The 27,546-nt window shown below is 37.7% G+C and overlaps 2 long non-coding RNA genes across 3 annotated transcripts in view; one reads left to right on the top strand and one right to left on the bottom strand.

Moving 5' to 3' along the window:
* LOC107986772 (uncharacterized) overlaps nucleotides 1-27,546 on the bottom strand; it is a 129,008-nt gene that overhangs the window by 8,918 nt on the left and 92,544 nt on the right. The window contains exon 2 of the long non-coding RNA XR_001745107.2: nucleotides 15,129-15,191. This is a non-coding gene — a long non-coding RNA (uncharacterized LOC107986772). The remainder of the gene's footprint in view (nucleotides 1-15,128; nucleotides 15,192-27,546) is intronic.
* LOC101927609 (uncharacterized) overlaps nucleotides 1-27,546 on the top strand; it is a 164,409-nt gene that overhangs the window by 79,427 nt on the left and 57,436 nt on the right. The window contains exon 7 of one of the 2 annotated variants that reach the window (XR_007060235.1): nucleotides 7,444-7,728. The exons of the other annotated variant lie outside the window; for it this stretch is intronic. This is a non-coding gene — a long non-coding RNA (uncharacterized LOC101927609). Of the gene's footprint in view, nucleotides 1-7,443; nucleotides 7,729-27,546 lie in introns of those variants that run through there. 2 annotated transcript variants of the gene reach the window in all.

Raw genomic sequence — 27,546 nt, 5'->3', positions numbered from 1 at the left:
TTGACTTGGTGATGTGGGCTCTTTTTTGATTCCATATGAACTTTAAAGTAGTTTTTTCCAATTCTGTGAAGGAAGTCATTGGTAACTTGATGGGGATGGCATTGAATCTATAAATTACCTTGGGCAGTATGGCCATTTTCACGATATTGATTCTTCCTACCCATGAGCATGGAATGTTCTTCCATTTGTTTGTATCCTCTTTTATTTCATTGAGCAGTGGTTTGTAGTTCTCCTTGAAGAGGTCCTTCACATCCCTTGTAAGTTGGATTCCTAGGTATTTTATTCTCTTTGAAGCAATTGTGAATGGGAGTTCACTCATGATTTGGCTCTCTGTTTGTCTGTTATTGGTGTATAAGGATGCTTGTGATTTTTGCACATTGATTTTATATCCTGAGACTTTGCTGAAGTTGCTTATCAGCTTAAGGAGATTTTGGGCTGAGACAATGGGGTTTTCTAGATATACAATCATGTCATCTGCAAACAGGGACAATTTGACTTCCTCTTTTCCTAATTGAATACCCTTTATTTCCTTCTCCTGCCTAATTGCCCTGGCCAGAACTTCCAACACTACATTGAATAGGAGTGGTGAGAGAGGGCATCCCTGTCTTGTGCCAGTTTTCAAAGGGAATGCTTCCAGTTTTTGTCCATTCAGTATGATATTGGCTGTGGGTTTGTCATAGATAGCTCTTGTTATTTTGAGATACGTCCCATCAATACCTAATTTATTGAGAGTTTTTAGCATGAAGGGATGTTGAATTTTGTCAAAGGCCTTTTCTGCATCTATTGAGATAATTGTGTGGTTTTTGTCGTTGGTTCTGTTTATATGATGGATTACGTTTATTGATTTGAATATGTTGAGCCAGCCTTGCATCCCAGGGATGAAGCCCACTTGGTCATGGTGGATAAGCTTTTTGATGTGCTGCTGGATTCAGTTTGGCAGTATTTTATTGAGGATTTTTGCATCAATGTTCATCAGGAATATTGATCTAAAATTCTCTTTTTTCGTTGTGTCTCTGCCAGGCTTTGGTAATCAGGATGATGCTGGCCTCATAAAATGAGTTAGGGAGGATTCCCTCTTTTTCTATTGATTGGAATAGTTTCAGAAGGAATGGTACCAGCTCCTCCTTGTACCTCCTTGTAGAATTCGGCTGTGAATCCATCTGGTCCTGGACTTTTTTTGGTTGGTAAGCTATTAATTATTGCCTTAATTTCAGCTCCTGTTATTGGTCTATTCAGAGATTCAACTTCTTCCTGGTTTAATCTTGGGAGGGTCTATGTGTCGAGGAATTTATCCATTTCTTCTAGATTTTCTAGTTTATTTGCATAGAGGTGTTTATAGTATTCTCTGATGGTAGTTTCTATTTCTGTGGGATTGGTGGTGATATCCCCTTTGTCATTTCTTATTTCATCTATTTGATTCTTCTCTCTCTTCTTCTTTATTAGTCTTGCTAGTGGTCTATCAATTTTGTTGATCGTTTCAAAAAACCAGCTCCTGGCTTCATTGATTTTTTGAAGGGTGTTTTGTGTCTCTATTTCCTTCAGTTCTGCTCTGATCTTAGTTATTTCTTGCCTTCTGCTAACTTTTGAATGTGTTTGCTCTTGCTTCTCTAGTTCTTTTAATTGTGATGTTAGGGTGTCAATTTTAGATCTTTCCTGCTTTCTTTTATGGATATTTAGTGCTATAAATTTCCCTCTACACACTGCTTTGAATGTGTCCCAGAGATTCTGGTATGTTGTGTCTTTGTTCTTGTTGGTTTCAAAGAACATCTTTATTTCTGCCTTCATTTCATTATGTACCCAACAGTCATTCAGGAGCAGGTTGTTCAGTTTCCATGCAGTTGAGCAGTTTTGAGTGAGTTTCTTAATCCTGAGTTCTAGTTTGATTGCACTGTGGTCTGAGAGATAGTTTGTTATAATTTCTGTTCTTTTACATTTGCTGAGGAGTGCTTTACTTCCAACTATGTGGTCAATTTTGGGATAGGTGTGGTGTGGTGCTGAAAAGAATGTATATTCTGTTGATTTGGGGTAGAGAGTTCTGTAGGTGTCTGTTAGGTCTGCTTGGTGCAGAGCTGAGTTCAATTCCTGGATATCCTTGTTAACTTTCTGTCTCATTGATCTGTCTAATGTTGACAGTGGGGTGTTAAAGTCTCCCATTATTATTGTGTAGGAGTCTAAGTCTTTTTGTAGGTCTCTAAGGACTTGCTTTATGAATCTGGGTGCTCCTGTATTGGGTGCATATATATTTAGGATAGGTAGCTCTTCTTTTTGAATTGATCCCTCTACCATTATGTAATGGCCTTCTTTGTCTCTTCTGATCTTTGTTGGTTTAAAGTCTGTTTTATCCAAGACTAGGATTGCAACCCCTGCCTTTTTTTTTGTTTTCCATTTGCTTGGTAGATCTTCCTCCATCCCTTTATTTTGAGCCTATGTGTGTCTCTGCATGTGAGATGGGTTTCCTGAATACAGCACACTGATGGGTCTTGACTCTTTATCCAATTTGCCAGTCTGTGTATTTTAATTGGAGCATTTAGCCTATTTACATTTAAGGTTACTATTGTTATGTGTGAATTTGATCCTGTCCTTATGATGTTAGCTGATTATTTTGCTCATTAGTTGATGCAGTTTCTTCCTAGCCTCAATGGTCTTTACAATTTGGCATGTTTTTGCAGTGGCTGATACCAGTTGTTCCTTTCCATGTTTAGTGCTTCCTTCAGGAGCTCTTTTAGGGCAGGCCTGGTGGTGACAAAAATCTCTCAGCATTTGCTTGTCTGTGAAGGATTTTAATTCTCCTTCACTTATGAAGCTTAGTTTGGCTGGATATGAAACTCTGGGTTGAAAATTCTGTTCTTTAAGAATGTTGAATATTGGCCCCCACTCTCTTCTGGCTTGTAGAGTTTCTGCCAAGAGATCAGCTGTTAGTCTGATGGGCTTCCCTTTGTGGGTAACCTGACCTTTCTCTCTGGCTGCCCTTAACATTTTTTCCTTCATTTCAACTTTGGTGAATCTGACAATTATGTGTCTTGGAGTTGCTCTTCTTGAGGAGTATCTTTGTGGCGTTCTCTGTGTTTCCTGAATCTGAATGTTGGCCTGCCTTGCTAGATCGGGGAAGTTCTCCTGGATAATATCCTACAGAGTGTTTTCCAACTTGGTTCCATTCTCGCTGTCACTTTCAGGTACACCAATCAGACGTAGATTTGGTCTTTTCACATAGTCCCATAGTTCTTGGAGGCTTTGTTCATTTCTTTGTATTCTTTTCTCTCTCAACTTCTCTTCTTGCTTCATTTCATTCATTTGATCTTCCATCACTGATACCCTTTCTTCCAGTTGATCGAATCGGCTACTGAGGCCTGTGCATTTGTCACATAGTTCTCATGCGGTGGTTTTCAGCTCCATCAGGTCCTTTAAGGACATCTCTGCATTGGTTATTCTAGTTAGCCATTCGTCTAATTTTTTTTCAAGGTTTTTAACTTCTTTGCGATGGGTTCGAACTTCCTCCTTTAGCTCGGAGGAGTTTGATCCTCTGAAGCCTTCTTCTCTCAACTTGTCAAAGTCATTCTCCATCCAGCTTTATTCTGTTGCTGGTGAGGAGCTGCGTTCCTTTGGAGGAGGAGAGGTGCTCTGATTTTTAGAATTTTCATTTTTTCTGCTCTGTTTTTTCCCCATCTTTGTGGTTTTATCTACCTTTGGTCTTTGATGATGGTGACGTACAGATGTGGATGTCCTTTCTGTTTGTTAGTTTTCCTTCTAACAGTCAGGACCCTCAGCTGCAGGTCTGTTGGAGTTTGCCAGAGGTCCACTCCAGACCCTGTTTGCCTGGGTATCAGCAACGGAGGCTGAGAACAGCGGATATTGGTGAACAGCAAATGTTGCTGCCTGATCGTTCCTCTGGAAGTTTTGTCTCAGAGGAGTACCCGGCCGTGTGAGGTGTCAGTCTGGCCCCTACTTGGGGGTGCCTCCCAGTTAGGCTACTCGGGGGTCAGGGACCCACTTGAGGCGGTCTGTCTGTTCTCAGATCTCAAGCTGTGTGCTGGAAGAACCACTACTCTCTTCAAAGCTGTCAGGCAGGCACATTTAAGTCTGCAGAGGTTTCTGCTGCCTTTTGTTTGTCTATGCCCTGCCCCCAGAGGTGGAGTCTACAGAGGCAGGCAGGCCTCCTTGAGCTGTGGTAGGTTCCACCCAGTTCGAGCTTCCTAGCCACTTTGTTTACCTACTCAAGCCTCGGCAATGGCGGGCGCCCCTCCCCCAGCCTCACTGCCACCTTGCAGTTTGATCTCAGACTGCTGTGCTAGCAATAAGTGAGGGTCCGTGGGGGTAGTACCCTCCGAGCCAGGCACAGGATATAATCTCCTGGTGTGCCGTTTGCTAAGACTGTTGGAAAAGCACAGTATTAGGGTGGGTGTGAACCGATTTTCCAGGTGCCATCTGTCACCCCTTTCTTTGACTAGGAAAGGGAATTCCCTGACCCCTTGCACTTCCCAGGTGAGGCGATGCCTTGCCCTGCTTCGGCTCACGCTCGGTGCGCTGCACCCACTGTCCTGCACCCACTTTCCAACACTCCCCAGTGAGATGAACCAGTACCTCAGTTGGAAATGGAGAAATCACCTGTCTTCTGCATCACTCACGCTGGGAGCTGTAGACTGGAGCTGTTCCTATTCGGCCATCTTGGCTCCACCCCCGCTTTGTGTATTTTTTAAAGTTGGCTCGTCTTTTTATTAAATTATTGAATAGGAAGTGTTCTTGATATATTCTGGAGACAAATCTCTTATAAAATATAATTTGCAAAAATTTTCTCCACTTCTGTGGGTTGTCCTTCACGTTCTTGACAGTGTCCTTTGAAACAGAAGTTTTTACCTTTGATGAATTCCAGTCTATCTATTTTTTGTTTCTCATGCTTTTGGTATTATATCACAGTAACCATCGCCTAATCCCAGGTTACAAAGATTTACCCGTTTATTTTCTTTTAAGTGTTTCGTAGTTTTAGCTTTTACATCTAGGTATTTGCTCCATTTTGAGTTGATTTGCATATTTGGTATCAGGTAGAAATTCAACTTCACTCTTTTGTATGTAGATAACAGATGGTCCCCAACTTATGATGTCTCAACTTAAGATTTTTTGACTATGCAATGGTGCAAAAGTGATATGCATTAAGTAGAAACTGTACTTTGAATTTTGATCTCTTCCAAGGCTAGCCACATGCAGTACGATACTCTCTCAAGGTGCTGGGAAGCCGTAGTGGCCCACAGCTCCCAGTCAGCCATGGGATCATGAGGGTAAACAACTGAAACTCAACAGTGTACTGTGTTGCTAGATGATTTTGCAAACTGTAGGCAAATGTAAGGCAAACTGTTTTCTCCTTTGAAACATCTTAGAATTCATGGTGCCTACCTTGTTTTGATCTCTAATTTTTCATATCAATTTATTTTCTTTGTTTCTTAAACACTTGTAAATTCCTTAAATTTGGCAACTATGTGTTATACATATGTATGTACCATCCTTAGCATGTGGCAAAGTACTGAGTCTATTTATAGTAGGTACTAGTAAATACTTGATCAATTGTTTGGTTGAGCAGTAGAATTGAAAGTACCAAAGGGCTAATGGAAAAATCCAGGAGTTTTAATAAAGATAAAGATTGTAAATTTCATCATGCATCCATGTATCACAGCTAATAGTTTGGAAAATGCTGAAATAATGAATATTTGAAAAATAATTCAAATTATCACTCTATTAAAAGTCATTTCTGGCAGGGCACAGTTACTAATGTCTGTAATATCAGCAGAGGCAGGAGCATTGCTTGAGTCCAGGAGTTCAAGACCAGACTGGGCAATGAAACAAGACCCCATCTCTAAAAACAAACAAACAAAACATTAGCTGGGCACGGTGGCAGGTGCCTGTAGTCCTAGCCACTTGGAAGGCTGAGGCAGGAGGATGGCTTGAGCCCTGGAATTCAAGGCTGCAGTGAGCTATGATCACACCACTATAGTCCAGCCTGGGTGACAGAATGATACTCCATCTTAAAAAAAATAGGTAAACAAAGTCATTTCTAAATCACAATATTCAAATATACTACTATGTTAGTAACATTTGCTGTTGTGGGAGTTCCTTTAATCTCTAAAATTCTTTCAAGATATGGAGTCAACTTCTTTTATACACATTCTTATTTTAGTATAATGTATACAGTTAATTATATATTTCCTATGCTACTCTCTCATGTGCCCACTAATTATATACCTAATGGAATGTTTTTACCAATGATTCAGTATCATGTTTAGCCAAATAAACCACCTATAGCCATTAGTCCAAATAAAAAGGAACTAACTGTAAACTATTGTGCCTCTTGACTCATCATAAGGGCACATCTCTCTTTTAGATATTATATTCATGTTGACAAAGTCAGAGAATTTGAGTATAAAAATAAAAACACAGGCTTCCGCCTGACCTGCAAACATGAAACCTTTTTTTAAAAAAGTTCTGGTTTTCTGCCATTAAATGAATATTCAGTTAATCTAATCTAAGACTTGTTTTTTTAGTTAAGGTTTGCAATCAAGTCTCTAAAAATGCAAATTACATAATTGACTCTTGAGTTTTTCCTGTCCTTTTCCTTCATCTTATTAATCTTATAAGAAACATCATATATGTCTTTCAGAACATTGAATTTAAGTGGAGATGTTCCTGAGCAAAGAAATCAAAACATCACATAAGCATTTAACACAATTGTTATGAAAATAATTTGGATGGAAGTTTGAGAAATTAAGGCTTCTCTGGTTATTTTTACCAAATGATTGTCAAATTTAAAACTTTGGCTTTCCTTTTATGTAGTATTTTTAAGTTGAAAGTATACAAAAGTACAGTTCTGCAAAATTCTATAGGTTAAAAAACTTAAAAACACATTAGTACAGGACAATACTACATATTTATAGATTCAGACTGAAAGATATCGGTCTACTTATTTAGTCAGTTTACTTTTGTTTGTTACATTTTGCTTTAAGAGAATCTAGATCTACAGAGGGCAAATGAGGAAATTATGATGAGATATTTGATGTGTATCAGCAAATATAAATATAAATAAGGTAAATGATCTAAATATTTGTTAAGAAGCTGTTTGAGAACTTAGATTAGCATATATCTTACATTTCTTTGTCTAGTAATTACCCTTTCAACTAGCTTATCTATATCAAGTAACATTGCCAGTGCATAGCAAGTAGCTGATGAAGATCTTGTCCAGGGTAACTGAACCTTTTAGAGAGCAGACATTACCGAGGGATTTAGGAAAGATTAAACTCTTTGAACCCTGCCAAAAGCAATAATTAAAATGAATGCAGTCTAGTTATTTAAACAGCTGTCATTTCTCCTTCAACAAATTTTGCCAATTAACAGTGTCAAAAAAGCTAATATTCTAAGAGGAGTGAATTTTTACCATTTCCCTTATAATTCTCATTTTTTAAGGAAGATTCCTGAAACAACAATCAAAAGGAACTTTGGACTCTGACTGAGGACACATCCAGCAATGGCAAAGCACTCTAGCCACTGCCCAGACCCATGGAAACTTCAGGAAGAGGCAGTTTAGTGCTTCTGGTAGTTGTCTAATCAAGATTAGGACTCTTATTTATCATCTTCCTCTGGCATTTTTGCACCAGTCTTCAGGTTTTAGCATAGTAAATATGTTCCAGTCTGTGAAATCTCTCTGTTTTATTCCAAATAAATAAAAAAGCATAATAGTAGAAATTAAAATGAATTTCTGGTTGTTGAATTTTTATGTAGGAGACACCCTTTCTACCTCACTATCATCAGTAGAAGTGGGACATCTGAAAATCATGAAAGCTTTCTCTCCAAATTTTATGATGATTATAAGCTACAGGACATAGACTCCAAAGGTTAAGAGAGAGGAGAGGAAAAAAATATTGAATCAAATGTGAAATATAAATTTTTGAGTGATAAAGAAGAAGTGAATATATATTGCAAATTCCAAAATAATATTAATATACTGTATTTATTTTATTGTCAGAACCACTTGACTGATAGAAACTAAGGCTCAGAGAAAGTTTCTGATCTGCTTGAAAACCATGACTAGTGAATTGAAAAATTATGATAGAGCCTGATCTTCTAACTTCTAGGCCAATGTTTTTTCCCATTATTTTTTTTTCAAGAATGTTAAAGCATATGAACAGATAAGTTATAGAAAAATAACAGATGGCCTTTATACATGTGATAATATGTTCAACTTCAAACATAACAAAAGAAATACGCTGAGGTATCATTTATCACCCAGCAGACTGGCAAACAAACAAACAAACAAACAAACAAAAAACAGCAGTAGGCCTTGTTGGTGAGACTAGAAAAATAGCCACTTGCATGCATTGTTGGTAGGATTCCAGTAAGGTACAAGCCCTGTGGAGGAGAATTTGCCAAATCTAACCAGAGTCCACATGCATTTACACTTTGAACCAGCAATCCTGTTTCTAGGAATCTATCTTATAAATACACCCATAGAAATCTAAAATGGCATATGAACAAAGCTGTTCATTTTGCTATTATTTTGTAGCAAAAATGGGAAACAACACAAGAATTTAACAATATAGAATAGCCTGAATTAATTGTGCCACATTCATATGACAGAGTAATATGCAGCAGCATAAAAGAATGAGGACCATCTCTATGTACTGCTCTGGGGAGATTTTTTGGGATAATATTATTTAATGAAATAGTATTTACAAAATAGTGTATTTGTCATACTATCTTTTATACAAGAAATAAAGGAAATGTATATATTGCAAAAAGAACAGTATTAGAAGGATGAACAAAAAGCTAAAAAAATGGTTAATTATGAAGAGCAGGGAGGGGAAATTAAGTGAGAAAGATCAGGAGAGGCATCTATGTATACATTTAAAAATCAGGAGAGGCACCAATGTATACATTTTAGTTTTGACTTTCATACCATGTAAATGCATGGCTCTAATTTTTTTAAAAAAGATAAAAAAGAAAAAGGAATCCCTACAAATTAGAAACACACTAAAGCAAATGTACATTACTGTATATAAATTGTTAATGTAATCACAAAGAGAAAGAATATTTAAAGTGACTTTGGAGCATAGATCTTTGACTACATCTTTAGGGATGCATTCTATAGGGAAAAAAATGACAAAGGCATTTTAAACTTTCTTTAGTAGTTTTACTGTTAGGAGTATTTATTTAATAACTATTTTATTTGAAGAATATTATAAAGCTCTGTCATCAAGGTCCAACCAGGACAATAAAACTCTCTTTTTCAAAAGGGTATGTAATTTAGAGAATAAGCTACATAGGTAATGGAATAACTAAGAAGCCAGGAGGAGATAACGAGGCCACCCAGATCTTAGAGACACAGGAAGCCTCTCCAATCTTAGGTTAGAGGAGCAAGAAACGTAAAGATGGGTTTCAGAGCCCAGAGGACCAGATCACCTGTTTGCAGCTGGAGCTCAGGTCAGCCTATCCTGGAGCACTGAAACCCCAGATGAGAAGCAGTCATATCCAGAAGCATCTTCCATGACAGACAGAAAAGGTAGAAATACTCTGGCTTCTTCCTTTGTCCTACTTCCCAATCCCACCAGTGACTGCTATTGGCTGACATGGGAGCCTGCAAAGGTGATACACTAAAGGAAGGGTATCTTCCCCTATTTGATGTGAGGGAAAACAGGCTCAGGACAAGTACAGACGCCAACAAATGTTATTAACTATTAGATAACAAGATTTTCAATATTCAAGAGAAAAGAGGTACAATTACAAAACCAAAGAAGTTATATAAAAGTATTTTATTGTTAGTATTGAATTCAAAATCTACAAATGAATTTATGATTTAAAAATATATTTTCTTGCTACGTCCATTGATATGGCTTAGATGTAATTTTACCCCCAATATCAATGAGTATACTTAGAGACATTTTGGTCTCTGATATCATTCCCCAGTAAAGGCATCAGTTTCTTGAAGAAATGGTTGATTATTGACTGGAGACACAAAAGATACAGACCAATCCTTGTATAATTTGAGCTCAAGATAATTTTCAAAATTGAATGCTGTTATCTTAAAAGTAGACACAGCTTGAAAGGGCTCCCACAAGCCAGTGTTTTGATATATTGAACATCAAAAAGAATAATTTTTTGTAGTTGGCTTAAAAGTGATTTTATAAAAATCCCTCAATGCACAATTAAACTCTTTTTATAAGGCCAAAAGTGTATATATTATCATTTGGGTTAGGTATTAAACCAAATCTTTTCTTATAAAATCAATGATTTAAAAACTATCCTGTTTTTTTCAGTAGGAAATTGATTATCCCAGTATCCCCAAGTAATGAGAGAACATCTAGTTAACATAGAAGGAATGTAGAATTAGAAAAAAATCACACTTTTGCAGTAATTGATTCATTCATAGATTCTCATTTAGAATTAAAACGACATGGTAAATGGTTGAAGGAGAATTGAAGCTCTATACAATGCTATAGTTGTACTACACAGTTTACTTTTTGATCATAAGGGAAAAATAGAACAGCATAGTGGAGGGCTCAGACTGTGGCTCTGTAGTTTCGGTGTCCAGTGTCAGCAGTTGTAGTGGTGGGACAGGGGACAGACTCTGTCCTTATTGTAGTGCAGTTAACCACAGCATCAGGTGCGATGCATTCTAGCCCCAAATAGCTATGAGTATACTTAGACAAATAGCTAATTTGTTCAAGCTGTTAGATTGAACTTCCAATTAATTAAAAAAAAGAGAGAGTTAGATTTAAAACACACTTAGAAGCCATCAGATAAATTCAGAGATCTGCTCTCTCCAATAAATTATGTGAAACCAATCTTGATTGTTCTAGACTAAATGCAGCTTAAGGGGTATAATAGCTAGATGCAATGCATGATCCTAGATTGCATCTTGATTTTGGACAAAACAGGAAAAAAATGGAGAAATTTTATTTTGGCTGGGTCTAAAATGAAATTAAGAAATTATTTATTTTGCTAGATATTAAAAATCATTCTTTTGGCTATGCAGGAAAATACATTTATTTTTAAGAGCTGAATACTGACGTAGTTAGGTGTGTAATGAGATGTCTGTATTTAAAATTCTTCTGCACAAAACATGTTTTAAGAAAGCATTGGCCAGTCGCGGTGGCTCACGCCTGTAATCCCAGCATTTGGGAGGCCGAGACGGGCAGATCACGAGGTCAGGAGATCGAGACCATCCTGGCTAACACGGTGAAACCCCGTCTCTACTAAAAATACAAAAAATTAGCCGGGCGTGGTGGCGGGCGCCTGTAGTCCCAGCTACTCGGGAGGCTGAGTCAGGAGAATGGCGTGAACCCAGGAGGCGGAGCTTGCAGTGAGCCGAGATCGCGCCACTGCACTCCAGCCTGGGCGACAGAGTGAGACTCCGTCTAAAAAAGAAAAGAAAGCATTAGCATGATCCTTTATGACCTGACCCCAACTTGTTTATTTAACTTCATTTAGCCATAAGATAAAATCTATATCTTTATTTCTGTTTTAAAATAGCTCCCTTTGAGTCCTTCAGGATCAGCAACAGAAGCTTTGTTTCAGAGCAAGGATTTGTTTAGCCTCAAGTTCCTGAACAGATCTCAAGGTGCTTGGGAAGCACGTGTGTGTGTGTGTGTGTGTGTGTGTGTGTGTGTTTATGGGAACATATATTTACCTGGATGAGTTTTATGACTTTCATCAGGTTGTCAGAGGGGCATGCAACTCACAAATATTAAGAATGTCAAGAGTTTTCCAGTTTTACTTGTATAACTCACTGTACGGTAGCCTTTAAAAAAACAATGCTTAAATATTCATAGGGTCTTTAAGATAACTGATTCAAATTAAAATAATATACCTGAAGTTCATGGTTCCCTTGTTGAATTTTTTTGCCTTACAATGGTATTTCCATTTATATTTTCCATTGCATGCTGAGAATTAACTCCTGAGGGTTCTTCTTTTGTATACATTCATATGTTATACACTACGTCTAGTTTTCAGACAATGCGGGGGTGACAGTTGATTAAAAGGTGTGTCTCTGAGGCTTTAGAAAAGAAGAATCATTTAATCCTAAACCATTAGCTAGATCATGTATCTGGCATTAAAACCTGAATACTTACTTGGTTTTACAATAAGGTAAACTTCCATGGACATGGTAAAAGGCTGGACCACCAGAGGCCATTCCTGTACAGATAAGACTAGCAGTAACAGGGAAGGAAAAATGTCTAGGACCAGCTGCATGGGCATCCAACCTGTGCATCTTCACAGGGTTCCATACTTAAAAGAGCCTGATCCTTCATTTAATGATTGGCTGTCACCATCTCGAAGTTCTAAAACATTTTTTAATAAGGGGCCTCACATTTTTATGTTACACTGGGCCCCACATATTATGTAGTCCATCCTGCATATGGGACATGTCCCTGTGCTTATCTGTGTTGCTCATAGCTGTGTTCAACTTGGTTCTTGTTCAGCTATTGCTACCCCCAGTTTCCTTCCTGCAGATAAGGGCTGGGGTTGGGCTGCTTATTATGGCAACAGCACAAAAGGCATGAGCAAACATGTATTAGGATTAGGGAATGTGGAGGCAGGATAGCAAGGAAGACCTAAATTGGCAGAAAAAGTCCATCTAAATGGTGAATCACTAATATCACTCTATTTTTTATTCAATTTATATAACTTTCACTGACAACGCTCCTTTAAATTTCTAGTAATTCTCATCTTTCTATTCCCTTAGTCATACCTATGATGGAGGAAACTCAACTATTGAGGAAAATAGTCTCAGGGCTCCCCTATGCACTAATACTAAAATTGATCATGAATGACGCTGAATCTGCCATTTCAGATATTTTCTCTAAAAATTTAAAAGTGTTATTTTTCAAAATAACGTTAAAGACCTACAGGTGGCAACATTTTGATAAGGCAACATGTAAACATTTGTGCCAACAATGTTATGCTATGTTTTTTGTTTTTTGGGTTTTTTTTTTGCCACAAATTCGCAGTTTACCAGGGTTGCTGTGTAGGGCTGTACAGCAAATATCATGCTCAAGGGAGTTCAGAGGAGTTCAGAGGTGGCCAAAGACTAGACTATGACTGGCCTCTTATCTGATCCTGGCCTCTTTGTGATGAATTCTACTGAGTTTTTCAACAGAGGAAGTGCTCATGATAAGGGGGATTATCTTAGTGGTTTTCTTTCCCCCCAAGGTGGTCAAAGAGTAGCACTAGTAAGTACAGTAACCAAGTGTTATTATCTTACTTGTAATAATTAACCACCATATATGAGGCACCATGCTAACACTTGATGTGCCTATATCATTCAATGCTTCAGCAACCTGAGTAGTTACTGAATTATTCACTGTTTACAAAAGAGAAAATGGAGACAGAAAAGTGAAGTGAATTGCCCAAGGTTATGTACCTAGTAAACAATAGAGCAGAAATTTGAACCCAAAGCCAGAGGAATTCAGCAGCCGCGCCCTGAAGCACAGTGGTGCCCTTTGTCAGGCAGAGAACCCACTACGTCATTAAGAACAGGGAGTTTCTGGCTATGTCATTGCTGTAGGTTGAGTGAATAACTAACAAACAAAAAATTAATCAATGAAAGTGATTCTACTGTATTTTATATTTTAGCTATTATTCTAAAAAGTAACCATTGCTTTTTGTACATGATTTTAGCTCTGAAAATTTCCTGTCAGCAAGAAGTCATTTCCCAGGTGGGATTTTAGAGGATCCTAAATCATGGGCCTTTGCTGTCAGCTGTCATGAGAGGGGGAAGAATTGAGGAAGTAGACAGCAGATAAGGCTGGGAAATATATTCTCTTTCTGAGAAAAAAATAATTTTCAGAGATGGCATCTTTCTATGTTACCCAGTCTGCGGATCAGTGGCAATTCACTCTTCACAGCGACCATGGCACTACTGATCAGCACGAGGTAGGCAGCAGATAAGGCTGGGAAATGTATTCTCTTTCTGAGAAAAAAATAATTTTCAGAGATGGCATCTTGCTATGTTACCCAGGCTGGGGGGCAGTGGCAATTCAGTATTCACAGCCACTATGGCACCAATGAATCAGCACAGGAGTTTAGACCAGTTCCGTCTCCAAACTGGGCCAGTACCCAGCTCTCAGAAGGTCATCATATAGAGGCAAAACTTAATGCAGACACCCAATTGGCATAGATCACTGCAGCCCAGAAATAGTCTCGAGCAATCCTCCCACTTCAGCCTACTGAGTGGTTGAGACTATAGGCACGCACCACCAAACCCAGCAGAAAATGGTTTCTTATTGACCTTAAAGTATCATCACACTGATCACAAATGTATGAAATTTAAAATATGATATTTAAGAACCATCCAAACATCTATCGTTCTTTGTGTTTAATTATCTGGCTGTTTCACTTTTATGGCTGATTTAAGAAAGCACTGAATATGCCTATATGGAAAATCATATATAAATAACATTTTCCATGGAAGCAATAAAAGACATTAAAATACTATGCAATGAAAAGAATGTCTAATCATTACTCAAATGCAATCTGAAATTATCTAATTGTGTTTTATCCAGACAGGATTCTCTAAGATTCTTCATAGTTTTGTTTTATCTAGGCAACAAGAATGAGAGTAAATGTTAAGGAAATTCCCCAGGAGGAAATACTGATTTTGGAATTTTGCAATTGCATGGTATATTTGGCTGATGAACATGGAGATTAAAGTACAGTTGACCCTTGAAAAATATGGGTTTGAACTGCGAGGGTCTACTTATACGCACATATTTTCAACTAAATGGGGATCAAAAATTTGGTATTCTTGGGATGCAAAACTTGCATATATCAAGGGCTGCCTTTTCTTATATGTGGGTTCCAAAGGGCCAGCTGCAGGGCTTGAGTGTACACAGATTTGGGTATACTCCAGGTGCCCTAGAACCAATCCCCCACATATACCAAGGAATGACTGACTGTAGCTATAATTTCCCAGCTTCTCATTCTACTAGCTACCTACCAAGTGAAAACATTGGGGAAGCCAAATGCCAATGGCAGAATAGGTTTTGTTTCTTTTTATTCCCAGGGGTGCTCCAAAACACATGCTCCAACCATTGCTAGAGAAAAAGAATATGAGTTCCCAAGGAAGATTTAAGCAGAGTGAACATATTCCATACCTTTACATTCTCTGAAGACATAGGTACTTCTCTAACAGCAGAATTAATTCCTGAAAAGGCACTCTGCAGTAAGAAAAAGAAAAAATGACATCAGTTGAATCTCATATCTCCATAGAAAATATTAATAAAGGCTTATGGAACTGACTGAGTTTTTAAAAAATTATAATCTTTCTAAGCTAAAAAATTTTTTTAAGTATTATGTGTATTAAAGGAAGAATAATATAGTAATAAAATGAATACTATATGTGTTTATGATATACTAGTGTGCTATAAAAAGTTGTTACTTCTTCATATTTTCTTCCATATCTTACTACCATAATTGGGAAGCATTTGTAACATGGAATTCAGACAGAGTTCTGCAGAGATTCATGACAGGCATCTTGAGACTTTTTTTTGCACCAACTTAGAATCATTTCATGATCTTTAAGAAGTCTACATAGGATGTTTGTCTCGATTCCCTGTTTTCAGTGAAAAATCTGTCATTTACAAGAATAGGCATTAGAGATAAATTTACCAAATTTTCCATGAGTTTGAGATTGTGAGCCCTATCCAATTGACATCCTAGCTTCAATATGTGTAAGTGGCAAAGCCCATCGTGTATATGGATATAAGTAGAACTGCTGTGAATAGAAAACTCTATGCATAATGACAGATTCACATTTTAAATTCTGATGCTGAAATACTTTTATATTAGTTACTACTTAAATGATATTAGATACAAATTTAGTAACTTTATGACAACTTGAAACATTAGTATGATTAGATCATATAATTGCTGTATTCTCTGGACTCTTAATTTGTCAGGAACTGTGATGCATACTGATTTCCCAAGAGCCAGGGAAGTTTAAAAGAAGAATGGGTATAAGTCAAGGTTGCCAGATGGGAGTCCCCATAGGCAGCTGCACCCTCTGACGTGGTGGCAACGCAGCTTGGCCAGACCAACCCGATCATCTTTTCTGAAACTTAATTCTGTAAAGTTTTATCCATGGCTCCTCCTTGTCTGCCATCCTTGGTTTCAGGGTGATATATTTCCTTTTAATCCCAATTAACCTGGTCAGTTTAGGAGCACACTCTTTGCCTATTCATCCAAGCTAGAAACCTCCCCTTCACCTTACCTGCTATGTATCAATCACTGGGTTCTCTATCCGCCTGTTCAACTTCATCCCGGGACAAAAATTCCCTGTTTCTAAGCCTTAAAATTTCTTCCCTGAACTATTCAAGGCATCTTCCTAACTCTTTCCCAGCCTCCAGTCTTCACTCTCTAGTACATTCTCCACATCTTTACCAGCATGAACATGGTATACCTCGGTGAACTTGGAAGTATAAGTCTTAACATGTTTCTTTCTTTTTTTTTTTTTTTTTTTTTGAGATGGAGTCTTACTCTGTCACCTAGGCTGGAGTGCAGTGGTGCAATCTCAGCTTACTGCAACCTCCGCCTCCTGGGTTCAAGCGATTCTCCTGCCTCAACCTCCCGAGTAGCTGGGATTACAGGTGCACACCACCACGCCTGGCTAATTTTTATATTTTTAGTAGAGATGGAGTTTCACCATGTTGGTCAGGCTGGTCTCAAACTCCTGACCTCATGATCCACCCACCTCTGCCTCCCAAAGTGCTGGGATTACAGGTGTGACCTACTGTGCCCGGCCAACATGTCTCTTTCATAACTCCCCTTTGCTTTTGAATTTCTTGGTAAGGAATCTAGTAACCCTTATACACTTATATCACCTCAAATAGCCAGAAGAAGTCGTTGCTCTCAACGTAATGTTTAGTTTTCTCAGCACACCAAAGGCCCTCCCAATGTCATGCTGAGAACTGGAATGTCCTCATCTCCTACTATCATCTTATCACCCTTTGTCTTCCCTTCATGCGTCAGAACACTCAAGGCTTGGGTCAGACATTACCTCCTCTGATGTGTGTCTCTGAGTTAAGTGATCCCTTATCTCTGCTCCCTTATTACCTTTGCTTATTGCTTTCTCTATAATTGTTCATTTTCTTATCTGTGTAGATTTCTAGAGTGAAGAAACGGAACGTTTCTTAACTATGTCTTGCTCATTATTAGCTTAACTATGCTACCCTAGCACGTAGCACAATACCTGGAACATCCAACAAGCCCAACAAGCAAACACATATTTGCTGAATAAAACCATGAATTTATGACTCCAGTTGTTCATCCCCCCAGGCAGAAGAATAAAATTGGACTCTTATCTCACACCATCAACAAAATTAACTCAAAATGTATAAAAGACTTAAACATAAGACCCTGTAAAACTATCAGAAGAAAACATAGGGGAAACTCTCCATGACATTGGTCTGGGCAATTATTTGTTCGATATGATCCCCAAAGCATAGGCAACAAAACAAAAATAGAAAAATGGGATTGCATCAAACAAAAAAGCTTCTGCACAGCAAAGGAAACAATTAACAGAGTAAACAGATAATCCACAGAACGGAAGAAAATATTTGCAGAACACACATCTAATAAGGGACTAATTATCCGAAATATATAAGGAATTCAACTCAATAGCAAGAAAACAAAAAACTTGATTAAAAAACAGGCAAAGGACCTGAACAGACACTTCTCAAAGGAAAACATACAAACGGCCAACAGATATATGAAAAAAAAAAGCTCAACATCTCTAATCATCAAGGACAACTAATCACAAATTTAAACAATAATGTGATATTACTTCATAGCTGTTAGAATGGCTGTTATCAAAAAGATGAAAGATAAGTGACAGCAAGGGTATGAAGAAAGGGGAACCTTGATACAGGTACGCTGTTGATAGGAATGTAAATTAGCACTCCCATTATGGAACCACTATGTAGGTTCCTTAAACATTACCATATGATCTTGCAATCACACTTCTGGATCTAAAGGAATTGAAAGCCAAAGGAATTGAAATCAGTATGTCTAATAGATATCTGCACTCCCATGTTCCCTGTAGCACAATTCACAATAGTTAAGATACAGAAGCAACCTAATGTCTCTTAACAGATGATAGAATCAATAAATAACTTCAATAAAGTTTCAGGATGCAAATCAATGTATAAACATCAGTAGCACTTGTATCCACCAATAATGTCCAAACTAAAGCCAAATTAAGAACACAATCCCATTTACAATAGCCAAAAAAAAGAATGATATCTAGGAATGTAGCTTACCAAGGAAGATCTCTACAAGGAGAATTACGAAACACTGCTGAAAGAAATCAGAGACAACACAAACAAATAGAAAAACATTCCAAGCTCATGGATAGGAAGAATCAATATTGTTAAAATGACTATACTGCCCAAAGCAATTACTATTCCTATCAAACTACCAATGTCATTTATCACAGAATTAGAAAAAAAATTCCAAAATGTATATGGAACCAAATAAGATCCGAAATTGCCAAAGCAATCCTAAGGAAAAAGAACAGAGCTCGAGACATTACATTACCTGACTTCAATCTATACTAAAAGGCCACAGTAACCAAAATAGCATGATATTGGTACAAAGGCACATCAACCAATGGAACAGGATAGAGAGCCCAGAAATAAAGACACACATCTAAACCACCTGATGTTCACGAAAGTCGACAATAGCAAACAATGAGGAAAGGACTCCCTGTTTAATAAATGGTGCTGGGATAACTGGCTAGCCATATGTAGAAGATTAAAATTGGACACCTTCCTCTTACGATATATAAAAATTAACTAAAAATGGATTAAAGACTTAACTCTAAGACCTAACACAATAAAAGCCTTACAAGAAAACCTAGGGAATACTATTCTAGACATCAGCCTTGGCAAATAATTAATGACTGTCCCCAAAAGCAATTACAAAAAAACAAAAATTGACAACTGGGGCCTAATTAAAGAGCTTCTGCACAGCAAAAGAAACTATCAACAGACTAGACAACCTACAGAATAGGATAAAATATTTGCAAACTGTGCATCTGACAAAGGTCTAATATCCAGAATCTACAAGGAACTTAAATCAGCAAGCAAAAAACAACCCCATTAAAAATGGACAAAGGACATGAATAGACACTTTTCAAAAGAAGACATATACCTGGCCAACAAATATATGAAAAAATGCTTATCATAACTAATCATTAGAGCAATGCAAATCAAAACCACAGTGAGATACCATCTCACAACAGTCAGAATGACTATTACTAAAAAGCAAAAGAACATCAGATGCTAATGAGGTTATGGAAAAAAGGGAATGGTTATGTACTGCTTCTGGAAAGAATCACACTTCAGAGAAGGCAATTAGCAGGACAGAGCAATCTTCTAAGAGGTGGATGGCATATAGAGGTCTATTTCCAATGCAAAAAAGGCTTAAAACATCATGGAAGGGAGGGATGTTGGCAATGAGAAGGTAATCCCAGGGGAGGGAGTACAAAACAATATGCCGAGCATCCGAGAAGACAGACTCTAGGAGACATCTTGTTCCAAGTGCCTCATGATATGATTTTAGGGGTGAGATGACATCAGTAGTGAAGCAGGACCCCCAGGTTCTAGAATACTCCAATGACCTGCTGTGGTTGGAAGCAGCATTGCTTCCATATTGGAAGGATCAGAAATGAAGAAGTTCTTCACAGTGATTGGAGACTCCCTCCAATGTCTTCTACCTTTTATATCTATAGCCATGAAAAATTAGGAACGATATTTACAATGATACCCTAAACCTACAGAAAATTCTCAGGAATTGAAGAAAGATTGAATAACGTTCTCTTAACAAACATTAACGCATCAGAGGCTGAGTACCCACATAGTACTTGCTAACCTAGAAAAGTGGACAAAGACTAGTTTTAAAATGACTTTCAAAGATAAGGCTCAAAATAAAATATTCGGGAATTAACCATTATGTACCCCAAAAATTCTGTTATTAAAATGACCAGTCCATTTAAGAAAGTTCAACTATGGATAATGCTTCTCAGTGGTAAACTAAAAAATAGACGAAAGGATAAAAGCCTGAATTAACTATTATGTCAAGGAAGCAACTCACCGTTACATGACTGTTGAACAGTTAGAATCTGTTAACACACCATCATAAAGGGCTGGTGAATACTTAAATGAGCACATGGGAATTTGAAGCAAGAAGACAGAACTCCCTGCCAGTTTAGAAGACTAAATAAATTAATGTGGCAGAAGGTATAAACTCTATGGTTATTTTTTCCCCTACGGCCACTCTGATTATCTTAGGAGAGCACACTTTGAAAATTTCCCACCTACATGGTAGAAAACCTATCATAAAAGCATTCAGAATGAAACTGGAATTCTAAGGGTACGTTCATACAGGAAGTTACGCCTTCTCCTTGTCCACACCCACAAATACTCACATACGCACTATAAAAATGGAAGAACTGCTTCTTCAGTCATCCTTGATTAATATCAACTAAACCATACGTTACATAATTGGAAAACTTGTTTGGAAAAATAGTTGTACAAATGCCAACCTTATAGCTACAAATCAACATTGACACGACTAGCTATGAGTCCTGGAGGGGAGTTATGATGGAATTCACCAACCTGGTATAAGTGTCTTTAAGGTCACAAATGTTTGTCTATAACTCTGAAGAGAATTATTTTCCACTGGCCCATAACCACAAATTCAGCTTTCCTAGACTTTGTGCCTATAGCTGATTTATCAAAGAATCTTAGACTATTAGGACAAAAAAAGAACTTCAAAAACATCTCGTCCCCACCCCCAACAGATAAATAAAACGAAGGCCAAGAAAGCTAAATAACTTGCTAAGGCCTTGTCATGAGTTAGCACTGACTTGGTATAGGGGAAATTTTTAATGTAGAAATAAGTATTACTTAGGCACTAATTAAAAACATAAAAGTCATTATAGTACCTTGAAAGGGAGAGAATAAAGAACAGGGACTATTCAGGCTTCAATGTCTTATTTATTTGTGCTTCAAAATCTCAGTTGGAATGCTGTGACATTAGAGTGTTTTGGTTAATTAAATGTTCTGGTTGACTAAGTATTTGACCAAAAATACCTTTTGCTTCAATCCTTCATGCTGAAAAGATTTTCTTCCAGAGGCCAGGGCACTTTCTGGCCTTCAAAAGTATATGTTGTATTCAAACAAATCATTTTCTTATGTCTGAAGCTAGAAACTATATTGTGTGCTGCCATGCCCTTTTAGTACTTTTCCTTACCTTGTGTCTGCCTTCTCATCTCGGGAACTCAATGCACAGATAAGGCCGTGGGATTCCCTATCTAGAGGTAACTTTGCCACAGGAACCCATACTCCCAGTGCTTCCCAAATTTAGCTGCTATGCATTTAAATCAAGTGGAAGCTTTTTAAAACCTAAATATCTGGGCATCAGAATTCATGTGTAAAATACATGGCCCATTCCTTGTAATGTAGTCAGGTATTGTATTTAGCATTTAGAAAACGGCTTTAGATTAATCTCGCCCTCTTTACTCCAATGAATATACAGAATATGCAGCATTATTTAATGTGTGCCTTTTTAATTAATTTTATTTTTTATTCTCAAGGTATCAGTTGGAGAGAAATTCAATAAAACTAATGAAGGCTAGGATTCTAATAGTAATTACATTCTTTAATATTTACCCATTCTAGGATAATTTTCAATTTAGCAGTTAATCTATGAAAGGTAAAACTTTTAATTCCAAGAAATAAAGCTCTTAGATAGAATTTTAGGTACCAGAAGGAACCTAATTTTACAACAGGTGGAAGGCTGGATAGTTGGAAGAAGGAGGAATTATAACTCACAGCCTAGTCTTCATTCCAGCTTAGACTTTGGCAATCCTTAGATGATCATTATAAATAATATTTAGTGTTCACCAACAGTTTTATGTACTTATTTATTTCCATCCTTATGGAAGGGATTTAAGTTCACTTTTAAAGATTCATAAAATATAATTTAAATATGTGATTTAGAAGAAAAAGGATATAACTGGAGCCAAGGGTGAGACAAACAGAAGTCAAAAAATGTCAAGTGCTATGATTCTTAAATCTATTCATTCATTCACTCATAAATAATAAGTACCCACTATTGGTCTGGCACCCAGTTCGATGGCTATACAGTGACAGAATCCCACTGGCTGTTTACTTCAATGTCTATTCTGATTGATTGGTGTCTATGCCTTACTATTAATTTAATATTTTAAATATTACTACCTACCGCTGGGAGTAGAACAGAGAGACAACGAACATGGACCATTCCTGCACAAGCTTCTAGTCTTTCACAGACAGACATATTCAAGCAACTCCAATAGAGTATGGCAAAATCAAATATAATGCATTAAGGAAACAAAAAATAAAACAGCAAGAAAACAACCAAAAACCCAGTATGAGTTAGAGAGAGAGGCAGAGTTTGCACTTGACCCTTAATGGATTTTAAGCAGGAACATAAAATAAGTTGTGTTAGAAGGATACCAGTTACAAAAATCCCTCTTTTTGCAACAATTGTGAATGAGAGTTCGTTCCTGATTTGGTTCTTGGGTTGACTGGCTGTTGATGTATAGGAATGCTGGTGATTTTTGCACATTGATTTCATATCCTGAGACTTTGCTGAAGTTGTTTATCAGCTGAAGAAGCTTTTGGGCTGAGCCTATGGGATTTTCTAGGTATAGAATCAAGTCATCTTCAAGCATGGACAGTTTGACTTCCTCTCTTCCTATTTGGTGCCCTTTGTTTCTTTCTCTTGCCTGATTGCCCTGCCCAGAACTTATGTTGAATAGAAGAGGTGAGAGAGGGCATCCTCGTCTTGTGCCAGTTTTCAAGGGGAATGCTTTCAGCGAGATCATGTCCTTTGCAGGGACATGGATGGAGCTGGAGGCCATTTTTCTCAGTAAACTAACACAGGAACACAAAACCAAATACCACATGTTCTCACGTATAAGTGAGAGCTAAATGATGAGAACACATGGACACATAGAGGGCAACAACACACACTGGAGCATTTCAGAGAGTGGAAGGTAGGAGGAGGGAGAGGATCAAGAAAAACTAGCTACTGGGTACTAGGCTTAATACCTGGGTGATGAAATAATCTGTACCACAAACCTCCATGATACAAGTTTGCATATGTAACAAACCTGCACATGTACCTCTGAATTTAAAGGTTAAAAAGAAAGAAAAAGAAAGAAAGAAAGAAAGAAAGAAAGAAAGAAAGAAAGAAAGAAAATATGGATGGATGGATAGATAGATAGATAGATAGATAGATAGATAGATAGATAGATAGATCCCTCTGGCTGAAGCAGGGAACATCTCCTGCTGCCCCTACCTGGTCAAACTCCATCAGTCAAGATCTTGCTCAGAACTCCTCTCTATACTAAGGCCAGTTCTGAAAAGCAGTGGTTAATTCTGTGGTCTCTGGAGCTAGAATATCTTGGTGCCAATCCTGACTTATGAATCAAGAAATATAAACTTCTCTGTACCTGGATTTCTACACCTGTAAAATGCAGTTGAGAACCTACCTCCTAGGTAGATGTGAGGAATAAAGATAATACAAGTAAATAATACAAGTAAAATGTTTAGAACCTTGTCTAGCACATACTAACACTCACTGGGAGCTTTATATACAATCTTTCTCATCTTATGACAACCCTTTAAGGGAAAGGTCCTTATCGCCATTTTATCATAATCATTCATCATGCCTTTCAGTGTCAGACACAAAAAAGTTTTAGATTTGGTTAATTTTTTTTTTTGGCAATTACTGTTTCTCCCTGTTCTGATTTCATTTTGTAACCAACAATAATTTTGACTTTTGACTTTCCTTTTTGCCAGCATGGATTTGAAAGTTTCAGGTACTAAAATGTGGTTTGTGTTAACTTCCTAGACTGAGTCCAAATATGTTATCTCCTGAGGGACAGAGCCTCTCCCTTATGGTAGAAAAATTAAATGATGTTAACACCTCATATGTGTCTAAAGCAATGGAAATAAGATGAGCTGTGTGCAGCCTGCCATAAAGTATTTCAGACAACTAAAGAAGGAAGCGCTGCTGAGATCCACCAGTGTGTTGCCCTGCTCTGACTAAGTTTTATGCAAATTCTGCAGAAGGGAATGAAAACCATGGCCTGGTTAAGCTAAGACCTGCCATGCTCAAAGTGACATTGAAGTAAATATTTCAGTGGAAAAAGCATGGCGATTACTTGTCTATGAAGCTTGGGAAACACCTATTGGAAAGGCACTGGTGAAGTTTCCATATTTTTCTGGATTTGTCCCAGGTCAAAATAGAGCTGTGGACAGGTGTCAAATACTTCGTAAAAGGCTTTATTGGAACCAGTGTGCCTTATGTCACTGACTCTGGACATGCAGAATTTGTGAAAGCATTTTATTAGGCATTTTAGGAAACAGAAAACAAGTTTTATGACCCACTTTTTTCCCTGTGGGACAAGCAGCATGTAGTCACTAAATGCTTAGAGAAAAGGAGCTCCATTTGGGATGCCACCGCAGAGGGGCCCAAACCAGCTGGTGCCCTGCATAGTTTGCTCCTACCTGGGGATAAAAACATAGCACTTCAGAAATCTTTCCAAATCTTGCCCCCAATAAAAAACCAGAGCCTTCTCACTCTGTTTAGCTTCCTGTGGTTTCAGGTCTACTGTGCCCTATAGGTTTTCACCTCTCTGACTAGCCCTTTTGGTTTGAAGCTTTTCCTCTTTTTCTTTTTCTACTTCATTTTTGGCTTAGATGCTTTTGGGGGGATCTTTTTCCTTTCTTTTTGAGTGAAGTTCCTAATAATGAGTCTAAATGAAGGTTAGCCTCATTTCCACTCTGTTGTCCAGTCCAGGGTCATGGAATTTTAGTCCAATTTATTGTGCTCGACCCAGGTTTAGGATGGAAGAAAAACCTAAACTCAACGTTGAGTGTCAAGTAATTTCTCTTTGACAGCCTTTGAGGCCCCTGGAAACCAAGCCTTGGTTCCTGCTGCAGCAGCGGCTGAGACTCAGTTTCAACATCCTCTTTTCCCAAATCCATAATAAGTGTTTCCTTCTGCAATGATTGTTTGCCCGTTTTTCCACTATATAAGGAACCAGTCTGGTTCCCTGAGGCGATTATTCAGACAGTAATAACCCCAGATTTTAAGGAGATTCAGTGTCACACTCTTTACATTATCTGGTGAGGCTGTAAAATAGAAGGCAGTGTGCTCAGTTTAAATATTTGGGCTCTGCAGGCAGGCAGATCTCCACTATATTTCAGCTCTTCCACGGCGACCTTGAACAAGTATTTTTAACATTATTAGAGTTTTAAAAATTTAAAGATTTATTGAATTATAACATACATATAAGGCATATAAAACTTTTTGAAATTTTACAGAGTAAACACTCCTATGTAACCAGCACCCAGATCAAGAAAGAGGACATAGTCAGCCGCCCAGCAGGTCTCCTGGCGCCACTACCTCCAGTAACTACCCTGGGCAGGGAGGGGGTCAGGACTCCACATTATCCCAATGTCAGATGCCTTAGATTTTTTGACACTGTATTTGACCTTCATAAGCCTCAGTTCTTCACATGTAAAATCAGGAAAATAATACCAATTTCAAAGAATGTAATAATTAAACGAGATAGCCAATATAACGTGCTTTGCACCATATTATTTTAATAAACTCTTAAATAGCGTTCTTATAATTTATTTTATTATTCGCCTGCTTATTTCGGATTGGTCTATCACCTGCTAGCCTAACCCACGAAGCAAGCACCATCTCTTTCCAAGGACTGAAACCTATTTTTTGTGTGTGTATGCAATATTTTAGATTTTGAATTTGGCCAGGAAAGTTAGGGTTGTGGCAACCTGTGGAGAAAAAAAAAAAGTGAACAGATACACAAACAGAGTGGGGGTACATCTCAGAGAAACATTGGAAATTTAGTTTCTCTAAGACAACTTTATTTTTACTTTAGATTTAAGGGATACATGTGCAGGTTTGTTACATGGATGCTGAAGTTTGGGCTTCTATTGAACCCATCACTCAAATAGTGAATATAGTACCCAATAGGTAGTTTTTCAACCCTTATCTGCTTCCCCTCTCTTCTTTTGGAGTTCCCAGTGCCTATTGTTCCCATCTTCATGTGCATGTGTACCCCCTGTTTACCTCTCACTTGTAAGAAAAAACATGTGGTATTTGATTTTTTTTGTTTCTGTGTTAATTCACTTAGGATAACAGCCTGCAGCTATATCCATGTTGCTACAAAGGACATTATTTCATTTTTTTATAACAGTGTAGTGTTCCATGATTATATGTACCACATTTTCTTTATCCATTCCACTATTGGGCTGAGTAGACTCCATGTCTTTGCTATTGTGAATAATGCTGTGATAAACCAAGTACAGGTGTATTTTTGGTAGAACAATTGATTTTCCTTTGAGTATATACCCACTAATGGGATTGAATGGTAGTTCTAGTTTGATGTATTTGAGAAATCTCCACACTGCTTTCATAGGGACTGAACTTATTTACATTCTTGCCAACAATTTATGAGTATTCCCTTTTCTCTGCAACCCCCCCAACATCTGTTATTTTTTGGCTTTTTAATAATAGCCATTCTGATGAATGTGAGACAGTGTCTCACTGTGGTTTTCATTTGCATTTCTCTGATCATTAGTGATGTTGAGCATTTTTTAAAATGTTTGTTGGCTGCTTGTATGTCTTCTTTGGAGAAGTGTCTGTTCATGTCCTTTGCCCACTTTTTAACAGCGTTATTTGGTTTTCTTCTTGTTGATTCTAATAATTTTGATTGGCAGTAAATAGAAGAGGAATTGAGTGGGAACAAAGGAGTCTTGCTAGTAAGAAGTGGGAGCAGAGGGTCAAATGTTAGGTTTCCAAAATCAGAGACATTGAATTCAAGTTGAGCGGCCATGGAAACCACAGTTGTGAAAGTTCTGATACTGAATGGGGACAGATGGGGAGTAAGGGCACAGGAACTTTGGTGGGCCTTGGTATATTGATTTATTTTTAGGAAAAGAGTATGTTCGAAGAACTTCTTTTGAGGGTTTAGCTCCATGTTTCCTTGAAGGTAATATCAATTTATTAGCTTCTAATAGCTCTACCTTGACCCCTGGCCATCCAGAAATTTCTTTCATCTTACCGTTTTATCTTCCAGACATTGCCTTGTCTCTTTTGATTGTAGTTTAGGTGCCTCCCTTTCCTTCCCTAATTGTACACCATTCACCTCACTGCCCCATGGAATAGAGGGAGAAGCTTTCTGGCCCCATAGCATTTTGCTATACAAAGCTCTTAATCCCCAGATTTCATAAAGTGGCCTAACAGAATTAGGGGCATTGTTTCAACTTTTGCACCAAGGTCAGTTATTCCTTTTGAGAACCCAGGGCTATTTTAGAGAAACCATATTTGGTGTACTCTTTTTTTTCATATATCTTTTCCTGGGTTCGGAAATTGATTTGATTAAACTTTGAGATGTAGCATAGGCTGATGTGAAAGCGTACAATAGTACAA

Source organism: Homo sapiens, chromosome 7, assembly GCF_000001405.40.
Source record: "Homo sapiens chromosome 7, GRCh38.p14 Primary Assembly".
Taxonomy (NCBI): domain Eukaryota; kingdom Metazoa; phylum Chordata; class Mammalia; order Primates; family Hominidae; genus Homo; species Homo sapiens.
Note: the sequence above shows the minus strand (reverse complement) of the source record. Positions and strands in the feature narration are given on the sequence as shown.